This window comes from Homo sapiens, chromosome 10 (assembly GCF_000001405.40).
Source record: "Homo sapiens chromosome 10, GRCh38.p14 Primary Assembly".
Lineage (NCBI taxonomy): Eukaryota > Metazoa > Chordata > Mammalia > Primates > Hominidae > Homo > Homo sapiens.
This window is the reverse complement of record NC_000010.11, coordinates 31052239-31065330: the sequence shown is the minus strand read 5'-3', so window position 1 is coordinate 31065330 and position 13092 is coordinate 31052239. Positions and strand designations below refer to the sequence as shown.

Below are 13092 nucleotides of genomic sequence, written 5' to 3'. Positions count from 1 at the left end.
AGCCCAGCACGTGGCTCTGGAGCCTGCAGCACAAATGTCTCCGCCCCTCAGCACTACCATGCTGCCCTATGGAGGGAGAAATATCATTTCCATTTATGTAGTTGAAGAAGGTGAGGCTTGGAGAGGTTAAGTTCCTGTTCCAAAGCCACAGGTGTTAAGTGGTAAAGCAGGAATTTGAGCTGAAAACACACGCACTTGACCTCTTGGGTCCCTCCTGAATTTTATGCCCCTCTGTTGTTGCAGGCTCCTATAACTTCATGTCTATTGTCCCTTGAATATTTTTAAGGCTTCAGGCAGAAAAACCTCAATGCATTGCACGTATTACTTTTAAATTTACATATTTATCATTTATTTCTAAAGTGTATGCAGAAATATCTGGTTGAAACAGGAGGTCTTTAGTAAAAAGACATCAATTTGAAAGAATTCTCAAAAAAAGTTCTCAAATGTGTGAAGACTTTTTTTCTCCATTTAAAAACTATTCGAATGAACTGGGCAAAAGACTGGCTATTCCTGATAACTTTGCGATTCCTTCCAATTTCTCTTTAAAGTTCTCCAGGAAGATAAACAAAAAGATTAAACGGGGAAATGAAAGCTGAGAAGATCATATGCAAAACACCAGCCTGATTCTCCACTCTCTGTATCATTCAAAAGGGATTGTATAGAGCTGCACATTTTTTGGATTAAAAGTTACACACTCCACAGCCCGAATCAAAACAGGACAGATGCTCCCAGAGGAGACTGGGCCTGCTTCTGAGTCATGCGTTCTGTTACTGTGAAACATCAGGTTAGCACTAACCAGAAAAACAGACAGATTCCCCCACTTTTGAAGTGGTCAAAGCCAGATTTCTGCTGTCCACCCACCAGTTAGCATCTCCTGTTTTGTTTTAGTCAATCTCTTCTACTGTTCTTCTTTGGCCAGAGTGGTGGTAGAAGGTGGAGGGAGGGAAGCAAGCAGGGAGTACTGGAGAAACAATTTAGTAGCTCCCACTGGAAGAAGCCACTCACAACATGCAGTTCCCAAAAGAAAAGGGATCCAAATCTAACCCTCTCGCCCAGGAGATCGGCCCTATATAAATCAACTGACCTGGGTTCTATACAGCAGCCTTATCCTCCACCCTGCATAGGAAAGGGGTGCTGCCAGCATCCACATCCCCTTTCTAAGCCAGAATCTCCATCCCCCACGTGCTATGAGCTGAGCCACTCTCGAGAGTTGACAGGAGCTGCCTCACTTGGAAATGTAATGTTCATCCAATGAGTGACACTGTGCAGAAGCCCAGACCCTTGCTTCAAGGGAGGACAATGCTGTGGGGTTGTTCACACTTCAGAGCTCCCCATGGGCTCAGACTGAGACCAGACTTCAGCTTAACCCACAATAGCATCAAGCTCCATCCTCGGCCACATGCTGCTGTGTCTCTTACAGGTTTTACCCCCAAGCGCTGTCTCACCACGTCACTGCACAAGAATCCCCATCCCACGGCCAGGCATGGTGGTTCACGCCTGTAATCTCAGCACTTTGGGAGGCTGAGGTGGGCAGATCACTTCAGGTCAGGAGTTTGAGACAAGCCTAGTCAATATGATGAAACCCCATCTCTACTAAAAATACAAATATTAGCTAGGTGTGGTGGTGTGCACCTGCAGTCCCAGCTACTGGGGAGGCTGAGGCAGGAGAATCACTTGAACCCGGGAGGTGGAGGTTGCAGTGAGCCAAGATCACACCACTGCACTCCAGCCTGGGTGACAGATGGAGACTCCGTCTCAAAAAAAAAAAAAAAAAAAGGAAAGAAAGAATCCCTATCTCAGGCTCTGCTTCTCAGAATACCAACCAAAACTACTACCCATTTTAGGTACACTTAGTATCTTATAAATAAAGGTGAAACAAAACCTTCCTATATGTATTTTTTTATTTTATAGATTTCAAATTAAACTCCAAAAAAACACAGAGCCAGGCTGTTTTGGAGTTCTGAAAATGCATTGCCAAATTATTTTTCTATAGGGATTGTCCCAGTCGTACTCCCTCCAGCAATGTTTCAGAGTTGAAGCCAGCACTAGAGCTCACCAACGGTCCAAACCAATAAGGTTATGTTATTGCTGCTTTTATTTGTATATCTTGGATTGCTAATGAGGTTGAACGTTTCCCCACATTTGTCTACTAATTGCACATCTTTCTTATGTGGATTTCAAATTTGAGAAGAAAATTCCACGTCGACTTTCCAGAAGTTTCAACACCATGAGATTAATTTCAATGTGTGTGAGGGCTTTTCAGTTCCATGAAAGACAATTCCAAGTTTAAAAACTGGGCAAAGTCATCAGGACTGTTTTTCCTGTGTAGAAAGGTTAAAGTAAAACAGATGTGAAACTCGCCTCCAATCTCTTTTCTGACTGTATTATTTGTCAGGGGATGTTAACTCTTGAACGTACATGCACAAGAATGCTGGAGAAATGATTTAATAATCATCCAACTTACATGCCACGCCCTTTTACTAACAAAAGCAAACACATTAATTAAATAAGCATAATTGTGATAAGTGACTGCCTTGGCCTTATTTCCTCAGTCCACGGCAACTGCTTCTTGTCCTGTTGTCCTTCTCATTTTCTTCCCTTTATTCTTCTTCAAGTGCTCTGAAGGTATATACTCCCCAAATTTCGGTCCCTGTGCCTTTTGCTGTTTCCTCTTTACACTCTCCCGTGGCAATGTGTTTTGTTTTGTTTCGTCTTGCTTCTGAGACGGAGTTTCGTTCTTGTTGCCCAGGCTGGAGTGTAATGGCGTGATCTCGGCTCACTGCAACCTCCGCTTCCTGGGCTCAAGCCATTCTTCTGCCTCAGCCTCCCGAGTAGCTGAGATTACAGGCATGCGCAACTACGCCCGGCTAATTTTGTATTTTTAGTAGAGATGGGGTTTCACCATGTTGGTCAGGCTGGTCTTGAACGCCTGACCTCAGATGATCCACCCACCTCGGCCTCCCAAAGTGCTGGGATTACAGGCGTGAGCCACCGCGCCTGGGAGGTAATGTATTTAAAGTGTGAGATTAAACTATCTGGAGGGATTTTTCCAGATCTTTCCATCTTACCGAGGACTGTCAAATTCCTCAGGGTTCCCCACAAAGTAAGCAGTGCTCTCACATGGGAAGAGAACCTTCACACTGAGGACACGCACTCCTCAGTAAGCACTATTCAGGAGGAAATGCCACAGAGATAATATGGTTGTTTCTACATCATTCCCGGACCACCATCTGCACACTGATCTGCTGTGTCAAGACAGCTTGTTCTCCACAGCAATGAACTTTTTGTTATGCGCATGAAACAGGAGTTGTTAGACAAATTTGGCCGGGTGTGGTGGCTCACGCCTGTAATCCCAGCACGTTGGGAGGCCAAGGCAGGTGGATTGCTTGAGGTCAGGAGTTTGAGATCAGCCTGGCCAACATAATGAAACCCTATCACTACTAAAAATATAAAAATGAGCCGGGCATGGTGGCACATGCCTGTAATGCCAGCTACTAGGGAGACTGAGTCAGAAGAATCACTTGAACCCAGGAGGCAGAGGTTGCAGTGAGCTGAGATCGTGCCACTGCACTATAGCCTGGGCAACAGAGCAAGACTCTGTCTCAAAACAAACAAAACAAAACAAAACAAAAAGAACAACAAGAGTTGTTAGACAAATTCTGCCCAAGGATGTGTGTTTCTGGCCTGTGTTAAGTCTAAATTACAGTGGACCCTTGAACAACGCGGGTTTAAACCGGTCGATGCATTTATACCTGGGGACCTTTGTTACCCCGAGACAGCAAGACCAATCCCTTCTCTGCCTCCTCCTCCTCCCCTTAGCCTACTCAGCATGAAGACAATGAGGATGAAAACCTTTATGATGATCCACTTCCACTTAATGAATAGTAAATGTATTTTCTCTTAGGATTTTCTTAATAACATTTTATTTTCTCTAGCTTACTCCATTTTAAGAATACACTATACATATAATACAGGTATTAGTCTGTTCTCACACTGCTATAAAGAAATATCTAAAACTGGGAGATTTATAAAGAAATGGGGTTTTTGGCTCTGCAGGCTGTGCAGGAACTATAGCAGCTTCTGCTTCTGGGGCAGCCTCAGGAAGCTTCCAAACATGGTGGAAGGCGAAGAGGGAGCAAGACGTCTCACATAGCAGGAGCAGGAGCAAGAGAGCGACTAGGGAAGTGCTAACACTTTTTTTTTTTTTTGAGACGGAGTCTCACTCTGTTGCCCAGGCTGGAGTGCAGTGGCACGATCTTGGCTCACTGCAACCTCTGCCTCCCAGGTTCAAGCGATTATCCTGCTTCAGCCTCCCAAATAGCTGGGACTACAGGTACGTGCCAGCATGGCCGGCTAATTTTTTGTATTTTTAGTAGAGATGGGGTTTCACTGTGTTAGCCAGGATGGTCTCGATCTCCTGACCTCGTGATCCGCCCACCTTGGCCTCCCAAAGTCCTGGGATTACAGGCGTGAGCCACCACGCCCAGCTGCTAACACTTTTAAATGCCAGATCTCGCGATAACTCACTCACTCACTCACTATCACGAGAACAGCACCATAGGGATGGTGTTAACCATTCATGGAAGACCACATCCACCATCTAATCACCTCCCACCAGGCCCCACCCCCAACACTGGGGATTACAATTCGACATGAGATTTGATGAGGACGCAGATCCAAACCATATCACTACATATAGCATACAAAATTATACGTTAATTGATTGCTTATGTTATTGATAAGGCTTCTGATCAACAGGAAGCTGTTAGTAGTTATGCTTTTGGGGATTCAAAAGTTATCTATAGATTTTCAACTGCATGGAAGTCAACACTCCTGACCCCCACGTTGTTCAAGCGTCAACTCTACTTGCCAATCTAAAACGGGGAGATCTCATATCCAATTCCTAGCTTCTCTTAAAAAAAAAAAAAAAAAGCATCTGACCATATTCGGCTCCAAATTCCCATGTGGCAAGGTACTGGCCTCTCTCTTTAATTGAGGCATGTAGTCTACAGTTTACTACAGTCCCCATTGCTCTCTCTGGCCTTCAGCCTCCATACTTTTTTGCCTCTTAGTACCCTTTTTTCCTTCCCTTCCTTCCTTCTTAAACATCCTCTTGGCCGGGCACGGTGTCTCACGCCTGTAATCCCAGCACTTTGGGAGGCCGAGGCGGGCGGATCACCTGAGGTCGGGAGTTTGAGACTAGCCTGACCAACATGGAGAAACCCCGTCTCTACTAAAAATACAAAAAAATTAGCCGGCCGTGGTGGCACATGCCTGTAATCCCAGCTACTCGGGAGGCTGAGGCAGGAGAATTGCTTGAAGCCGGGAGGCGGAGGTTGCGGTGAGCCAAGATCGCGCCATTGCACTCCAGCTTGGGCAACAAGAGCGAAACTCCGTCTCAAAAAACAAAAAAACAAAAAAAATCCTCTTTCCCTGGCTGGGATTCTCTCTCTTTATGCACCCTTCAACTTACACCTCTATGTGGCGTGGTCTATTCCATGGAGAATGCTGACTGATGGTACTTCTTCTCCACAGCCTCTACTGACTGCCCCCACCAAGTTAATCCTTGACTCTTCCATATTTCTTCTCTGGAACATGTATACCTGCATGTGTTTACCTATAAACATTGGGCAGCAAATTTACATTGAGAGACTAGAATACAACAGACACTCTGTGAGGGGCTTCACATATAAAATGCTCCAGGGCAGCATGGAGTACATAGTTGGTGGAAAATGCCAGGATCACAGGTTGTGCAGGGCGTCATGGGAGGATACAGGAAAGGCCACTCCATCTGAACCAGACTTCCTGGAGTAAATGACTCATTTGATCTGAGATTTGAAGGACAAGGAGAAATTAGCTTAGCTAACAAGTTGAGGAAAGGTGAATTTCAGGGAAGGAAAGCAGTACCTGAGAAGGCACACAAGCCTAAAGTTTGGCTGCAAGAAAACAATATATGTCATTTATCAAGCCTATCATGCTGCTTTGTTTTCATAGCCAGCAATGCAAAAATTGAGGAAAAAGTTTTCACAAGCATAGTCAATGAAAACTGGATGAGGACATGCAAAGCTTTCTCACTTATTTGGGGTTAAATAAGAACCCATTTTATCCAAAGCTTTTCCAAATTGTTTTCTGGAAGTTGCAATGAAATTAAATCTGATTCCCCAAATCTCCTTGTGGGGATCGTTTAGCAAATAAAAAATGTCTAAGTGAGTAACAATTTCCTTCCAAACTTCCAAATGAAATTTTTTGCTATAATGTCACAAAAATTATTACCTGAATTTATCTTGCAGGCAAATTAGATGATGTTTTACATTCTTTCCCCCATGAAATCACTTTCAAGAATTAAGTCAGAAAGAGAAGAGGCCAATTTTAGCAGCAATTTGCTCTTGCTGTAGCTGGATTTTGGTTAAAACTGCCTGAAGTAAACTTAATACACACTAATATCAGGATCCACCTCTTAAAATTTCAGGTTCCATGTACAAAATTCCAACTGAATCTGCCAAATATGCAAAGCCCCAGTGAAAGGTATTAGTTTTGACAGTGTGAAGTTATTGGTAGCTTAACACTCTGAAAATGAAGTACCTATATTCTTTGGCCAAATATCTTTCCTTGTGATAACTTGGAAACTTCAGGATAGAACATGAGAACTTTGCCATGAGCATTCAAGTTCTCACAAAGCAAGGCATGTATTCTAATACTTTCCATGGGATTGACAACCTTGATAATAATATGAACAATTCTCTTAGATTGCCAGGCAGGGTTTTGGATGCTTAGCAGTGAATACCTGATTTTTTTCCTGTCAAATTCCTCACTGTGAATTCCACATTATTGGAGCAATATTAAATGCACATTCTTATCAAGTTTTTAAAAAATTTAATTATTTTATTTTTTTAGAGGCATGGTCACTGTCTGTCACCCAGACTGGAGTGCAGAGATAACAATCATAGCTCACTACAGCCTCAACCTTCTGGGCTTAAGCAGTCCTCCCACTTCAGCCTCCCAGGTAGCTGGCACAAGTGGCATACATACAACACCATGCCTGGCTAATGTTTTTATTTTTTTTTGTAGGGACAGGGTCTTGCTATGTTGCCCAAGCTAGTCTCGAACTCTGGGCCTCAAGTTATCCTCCTGCCTCAGCCTCCCAACATGCTGAGATTACAGGCATGAGCCAGTACACCTGGTCCTGTTATCAATTTTTAATATCTCATTTGTTTGGAAGAATTTTGACAGAGCTTCAAAGATATTATCAGGTTTAGTTGTAGCACCAAAGGCTTGAGAAAACAGCTCCTTTTATTCTGCATCCTATTTAACCACAAGTCATGCAGAAACACATGGTGTAGCCCAAAGTTCTTGGGGGAAATCATAAGATGCATCAAACTAATGATAAGAAAATGCAGGCCGGGAGCGGTGGCTCATGCCTGTAATCCCAGCACTTTGGGAGGCCAAGGCAGGCAGATCACCTGAGGTCGAGAGATCGAGACCATCCTGGCCAACATGTGAAACCCCATCTCTACTAAAAAATACAAAAATTAGCTGGGCATGGTGGTGCATGCCTGTAGTCCTAGCTACTCGGGAGGCTGAGGCAGGAGAATCACTTGAACCTGGGAGGCAGGGGTAGCAGTGAGCCAAGATCACACCACTGCACTCCAGCCTGGCCACAGAGCGACACTTCATCTCAAAAAAAAAAAAAAAAAAAAAAAAAAAGAAATGCAATGATTTGATCTTTTGCAGAACTCAAAGTGTGATGTCAGCAGGTAAGACATTCTAACGTGTGACTGTAGATTAAAAGAAACATTCTGGAATAGCTTCTACATATCCACTCAAATAAACTTGTGGCAGCACTCAGAACACATAGTTCTTTGAAAATTTCTTCAGCATTGTGAAATTTTCTTCTCCAGTGATTAAAACGGCTAGTGATATGGTTTGGTTCTGTGTCCCAAATCTCATCTCAAGTCGTGATCCCCATGTGTTGGGGAAAAGGCCTGGTGGGAGGTGATTGGATTGTGTCCGGAATTGATGGGTTCTTGGTCTCACTGACTTCAAGGCTGAAGCCGCGGACCCTCACGGTGAGTGTTAGTTCTTAAAGACTGCATGTCCGGAGTTTGTTCCTTCTGATGTTCGGATGTGTTTAGAGTTTCTTCCTTCTGGTGGGTTCGTGGTCTCACTGGCTCAGGAGTGAAGCTGCGGACCTTCGCCGTGAGTGTTTCAGCTCTTAAGGCGGCGCGTCTGGAGTTGTTTATTCCTCCCGGTGGGTTCGTGGTCTCGCTGGCTTCAGGAGTGAAACTGCAGACTTTCGCGGTGAGCCTTACAGCTCATAAAGGCAGTGTGGACCCAAAGAATGAGCAGAATCAAGATTTATTGCAAAGAGCTAAAGAACAAAGCTTCCACAGTGTGGAAGGGGACCTGAACGGGTTGCCCTGCTGGCTTGAGCAGCCTGCGTTTGTTCTCGTGTCTGGCCCCACCCATATCCTGCTGATTGGTCCATTTTACAGAGAGTTGATTGGTCTGTTTTACAGAGAGCTGATCGGTCTGTTTTGACAGGGTGCTGATTGGTGTGTTTACAATCCCTGAGCTAGGCACAAAAGTTCTCCACCTCCCCACTAGATTAGCTAGATACAGAGTGTTGATTGGTATATTTACAAACCCTGAGCTAGACACAGAGTGCCGATTGGTGCATTTACAAACCTTGAGCTAGATACAGAGTGCCGATTGGTGCATTCACAATCCCTTAGCTAGACATAAAGATTCTCCAAGTCCCCACCAGATTAACTAGATACAGAGTGCCCACTGGTGCATTTACAAACCTTGAGCTAGATACAGAGTGCCGATTGGTGCATTCACAATCCCTTAGCTAGACATAAAGATTCTCCAAGTCCCCACCAGATTAGCTAGGTACAGAGTGTCGACTGGTGCATTCACAAACCCTGAGCTAGACACAGGGTGCTGATTGGTGTGTTCACAAACCTTGAGCTAGGCACAGAGTGCTGATTGGTGCACTCACAATCCCTTAGCTAGACAGAAAGGTTCTCCAAGTCCCCACTAGACTCAGGAACCCAGCTGGCTTCACCCAGTGGATCCTGCACCAGGGCCGCAGGTGGAGCTGCCCGCCAGTCCCGCCCTGTGCCCACACTCCTCAGCCCTTGGGCAGTTGATGGGACTGGGCGCTGTGGAGCAGGGGGCGGTGCTCGTTGGGGAGGCTCGGCCGCCCAGGAGCCCATGGCTGCACGGGGAGGCTCAGGCATGGCGGGCTGCAGGTCCCGAGCCCTGCCCGGCAGGGAGGCAGCTAAGGCCCGGGGAGAAATCAAGCACAGCGCCTGTGTGGCGGCACTGCTGGGGGACCTGGCGCACCCTCCGCAGCTGCTGGCCCAGGTGCTAAGCCCCTTACTACCTGGGGCAGGGGGGGCCGGCCAGCGGCTCCGAGTGAGGGGCTGCCAAGCCCACGCCCACCCAGAACTCTAGCTGGCCCCCAAGCAGGCAGGCATTGCCTGTTCCCGCCCACACCTCTCCCTCCACTCCTCCCCACAAGCTGAGGGAGCCAGCTCCAGCCTTGGCCAGACCAGAAAGGGGCTCCCACAGTGCAGCGGCGGGCTGAAGGGCTCCTTAAGTGTGGCCAGAGTGGGCACCAAGGCTGAGGAGGCGCCAAGAGTGAGTGAGGGCTGCGAGGGCTGCCAGCATGCTGTTACCTCTCGGGATCATGGGGGCAGATTCTTGCCTTGCTGTTCTTGTGATAGTGAATTAGTTCTCATGAGATCTGATGGTTTTAAAGTGTGAAACATCCCCCCTCACTCTGTCTCTCCTGCTGCCATGTAAGACGTGCCTTGCTTCCCCTTCACCTTCAGCCATGATTGTAAGTTTCCTGAGGCCTCCCTAGCCATGCAGAACTGTGAGTCAATTAAACTTTTCTTTATAAATTACCCAGTCTCAGATAGTTCTTTATAGCAGTGTGACAACAGACTAATACAGCTACTTTATACAAAATCTTTACAGCCATTACATCTTCTGCATATGTTCCCATATTAATATTATATATGCAGAGAATTGCACTCTATAATAATAAAGCCTACCCATATAAAAATAAGGTTTATGTAAATTGGATTTAAATGCATTAAAGCTAAGCGAGGGCTACATAGTTCCTTTGACTGGTGTTTTCTTCACATGAAACACACTGAGGAAGTTGAATCCCTGTTGCTTGCAATATACCTGGATCTAACTTTGATATATAAGTAAGTCTCATCAGATTTGTGTGTTTGGGCTGCCATCTTCAGCTGCCTTATAGAAGAAAAATATTAATGAGGGGTATTTTCAAGAATGCCAAGCTGGTTTTGAAGAGTAATTAGTGCTGCTAATGGCAGTTGCTACATGACTGCCTGGTTTCTTCTCATATCTGAACCTTATAAGCACATTATTTGTTCATTCTATGAGTACAAATATGTTACAGGTCTAAAATATGCCACCCATTAGAAACCCAAACGTCAATATCATGCAATATACCATGTAACAAACCTGCATATGTGCTCCTTGAATCTAAAATAAAAACTAAGTCTGGATACATTGGCTCACATTTGTAATCCCAACAATTTGGGAGGCAAAGAGCGAGGATCACTTGAAGCCAGGAGTTCCAGACCAACCTGGGCAACATAGCAAAATTCTCTCTCTACAACTTTTTTTTTTAACAAACAGCCAGGCATGGTGATGCATGCCTGTAGTCCCAGCTACTTGGGAGGCTTAGGTAAGAGGATTGCTTGCATCCAGGAATTTGAGGCTGCAGTGAACTATGATTGCACCACTGCATTCCAGCCTGGGTAACAGAATGAGGCCCTGTCTCAAAAAATAAAATAAAATAAAATAAAATAAAATAAAATAAAATAAAATAAAATAAAATAAAATAAAGTAAGATGCTACCTTCTAATAGAGACTTAGGCTAGGTTTAAAATATTTTTTATGATTCTCTGATTTTTGTTGTTGTTGTTTATTCAGATGGAGTCTCGCTCTGTCACCCAGGCTGGAGTGCAATGGCACGATCTCAGCTTACTGCAACCTCCACCTCCCAGGTTCAAACAGTTCTTTCGCCTCAGTCTCCCCAGTAGCTGGGATTACAGCCACCCGCCATCATGCCAGACTAATTTTTGTATTTTTGTAGAGACGGGGTTTCATCATGTTGGCCAGACTGGTCTTGAACTCCTGACCTCAGGTGATCAGCCCGTCTCAGCCTCCCAAAGTGTGATTTTTAAATTTACTGTTGGACTGAACTCCATTGTTAAACAATATAAAGATACATAAAGAAAAAAGAATCATTCCCCCAGCCTCTCTACAAACTAATCCCTCTGATGTAAATCAAGTTATCCATCTACCCTATTCTTCATGTACCTATAAATGTATTCATACTTACATTAACATACACACAAACATGCAATGTTTTTATCTTATAAAATAAAATGGTATTATATTGCACATTTTCTTGCAACTTGCTTTATCACTTAACAGTTTCTCATAGATGATCTAGCTGGTCCATAGATGGATATATAACTCATTTTCATTTTAAAGAACACCATAAACTAAGATTCTGATTTAATTTGCATTAAAATAGAGAAGTTTTTTATCATACTATATTTCCATCCAGTAACATGGCATAAGTTTTCATCTATTAAGGTTTACTTTATATTCTTCAAGAAAAAAGATTTGCATATAGACACTGTAATTTTTTATTAAATTTTTTTAGAGTTTTTTTTCTTGGCTGTTGGGAAGAGGGCTTTATTTTCCATTTATATTTAACTACTTTTTGTGAGTATGGTAAATTATATTATTTGTCATTAACTACTCCCTCCTTGGTTAGAGGACTATACATTCATGCATGTTGGGTATAATTTACAATACCTTCAGAGATGAAGCATGCTTCCTCCCCCAATTTGGGCTGGCCATGGGATTTGTTTTGGCCAATGAATGTGAGTGGATGTGACACAAGTACATCCAAACAGAAACTTTAAATCAGCTCTGTGATTTCTTTTGGCCTCTTGAGCTTCTGCTCCATGACATGGAAATGTCCAGGTAGGGGCTACTTCTTCAGTCTAGATCCCAGAATGAGACAGCTTGTGAAGCAGACCTCCTACTGACCTCCTACACAGCATGAAGCAGTGTAGCAGCCAACTGTGAAGAACTGGGAAGGGTCTCATATTTCGCCTTACTTTCAAGCCAACATGTTAACTTGCCAGTTTCATGGATGCTGAATGAAGACACTTGGGTTAGAGACAAAACACTTGATTACAGCAAAAGCAGTAGTCAGAATGTCAGCATGTCTGTTTTGGTTCCCTGAGTCTTCATTTTCAGTGATGATGTGAATAGGCCCAGATGGATGCCTGAACAAATGCTGGGTTGCGCTACAGGAAAGGAATATAGAACTTAAATTCCCATGATTTCATAGCAAGTAGTGAGCAAGCCAGCTCTTTGTCCCAGAGGTAAAAATCACCTCCTCCCTCGAGGTTGCTTGTTGTAAACATAACCCTGAGAAAAGGCTGGGTAGGAAATGATTAGGCCCTTGCATGCTTAGCACACCCAGCAAGATGTGTAGGAAAAAGAGTAACATATGGAGGAGAGTTTCCCAACACCAACCATCAGCCCTCATGTAAAGTTAGTGAGAAATAAACGTTTGCTCTTGTAAGCCACTGTGGTATGATTGTTTTGATACACAACAAAGTTGTAGCTAGTACAAATTACATTATATTTGTATATTTATCTTATATCTTGCCACCTTACCTAATTCTCTTATTTTAAAACATGTTCTAATACAGTTTTGTGGGTTTTCTAGGTATAATAATGTCTTTGCAAATAAAATGAATTGCCCCCTTTCCCAAGCATTTATATTATTATGGTTTATTTTGGGTTTTTTAAACCTTCCGGGTTAGCCTAAATCCCAAAACTATTTTGAATAAAACGATGATAGTAAATATGCCATTTATTAAGTTATTGTGTCTTACTTCCAAAGCCAGCCTTTGTTACTGGGCTGGTAATGCCTGGGCTAGAACTTCAAACCTTATTTTTGCTTTGCAAGTTGGCTCCCATTAAACTGTGCTGATAGAGGTGCTTCACGGAGCTCAC

At 43.8% G+C, this 13092-nt stretch overlaps 1 long non-coding RNA gene across 3 annotated transcripts in view; it reads right to left on the bottom strand.

Moving 5' to 3' along the window:
• LOC105376481 (uncharacterized) overlaps nucleotides 1–13092 on the bottom strand; it is a 123422-nt gene that overhangs the window by 90599 nt on the left and 19731 nt on the right. The window lies entirely within an intron of this gene.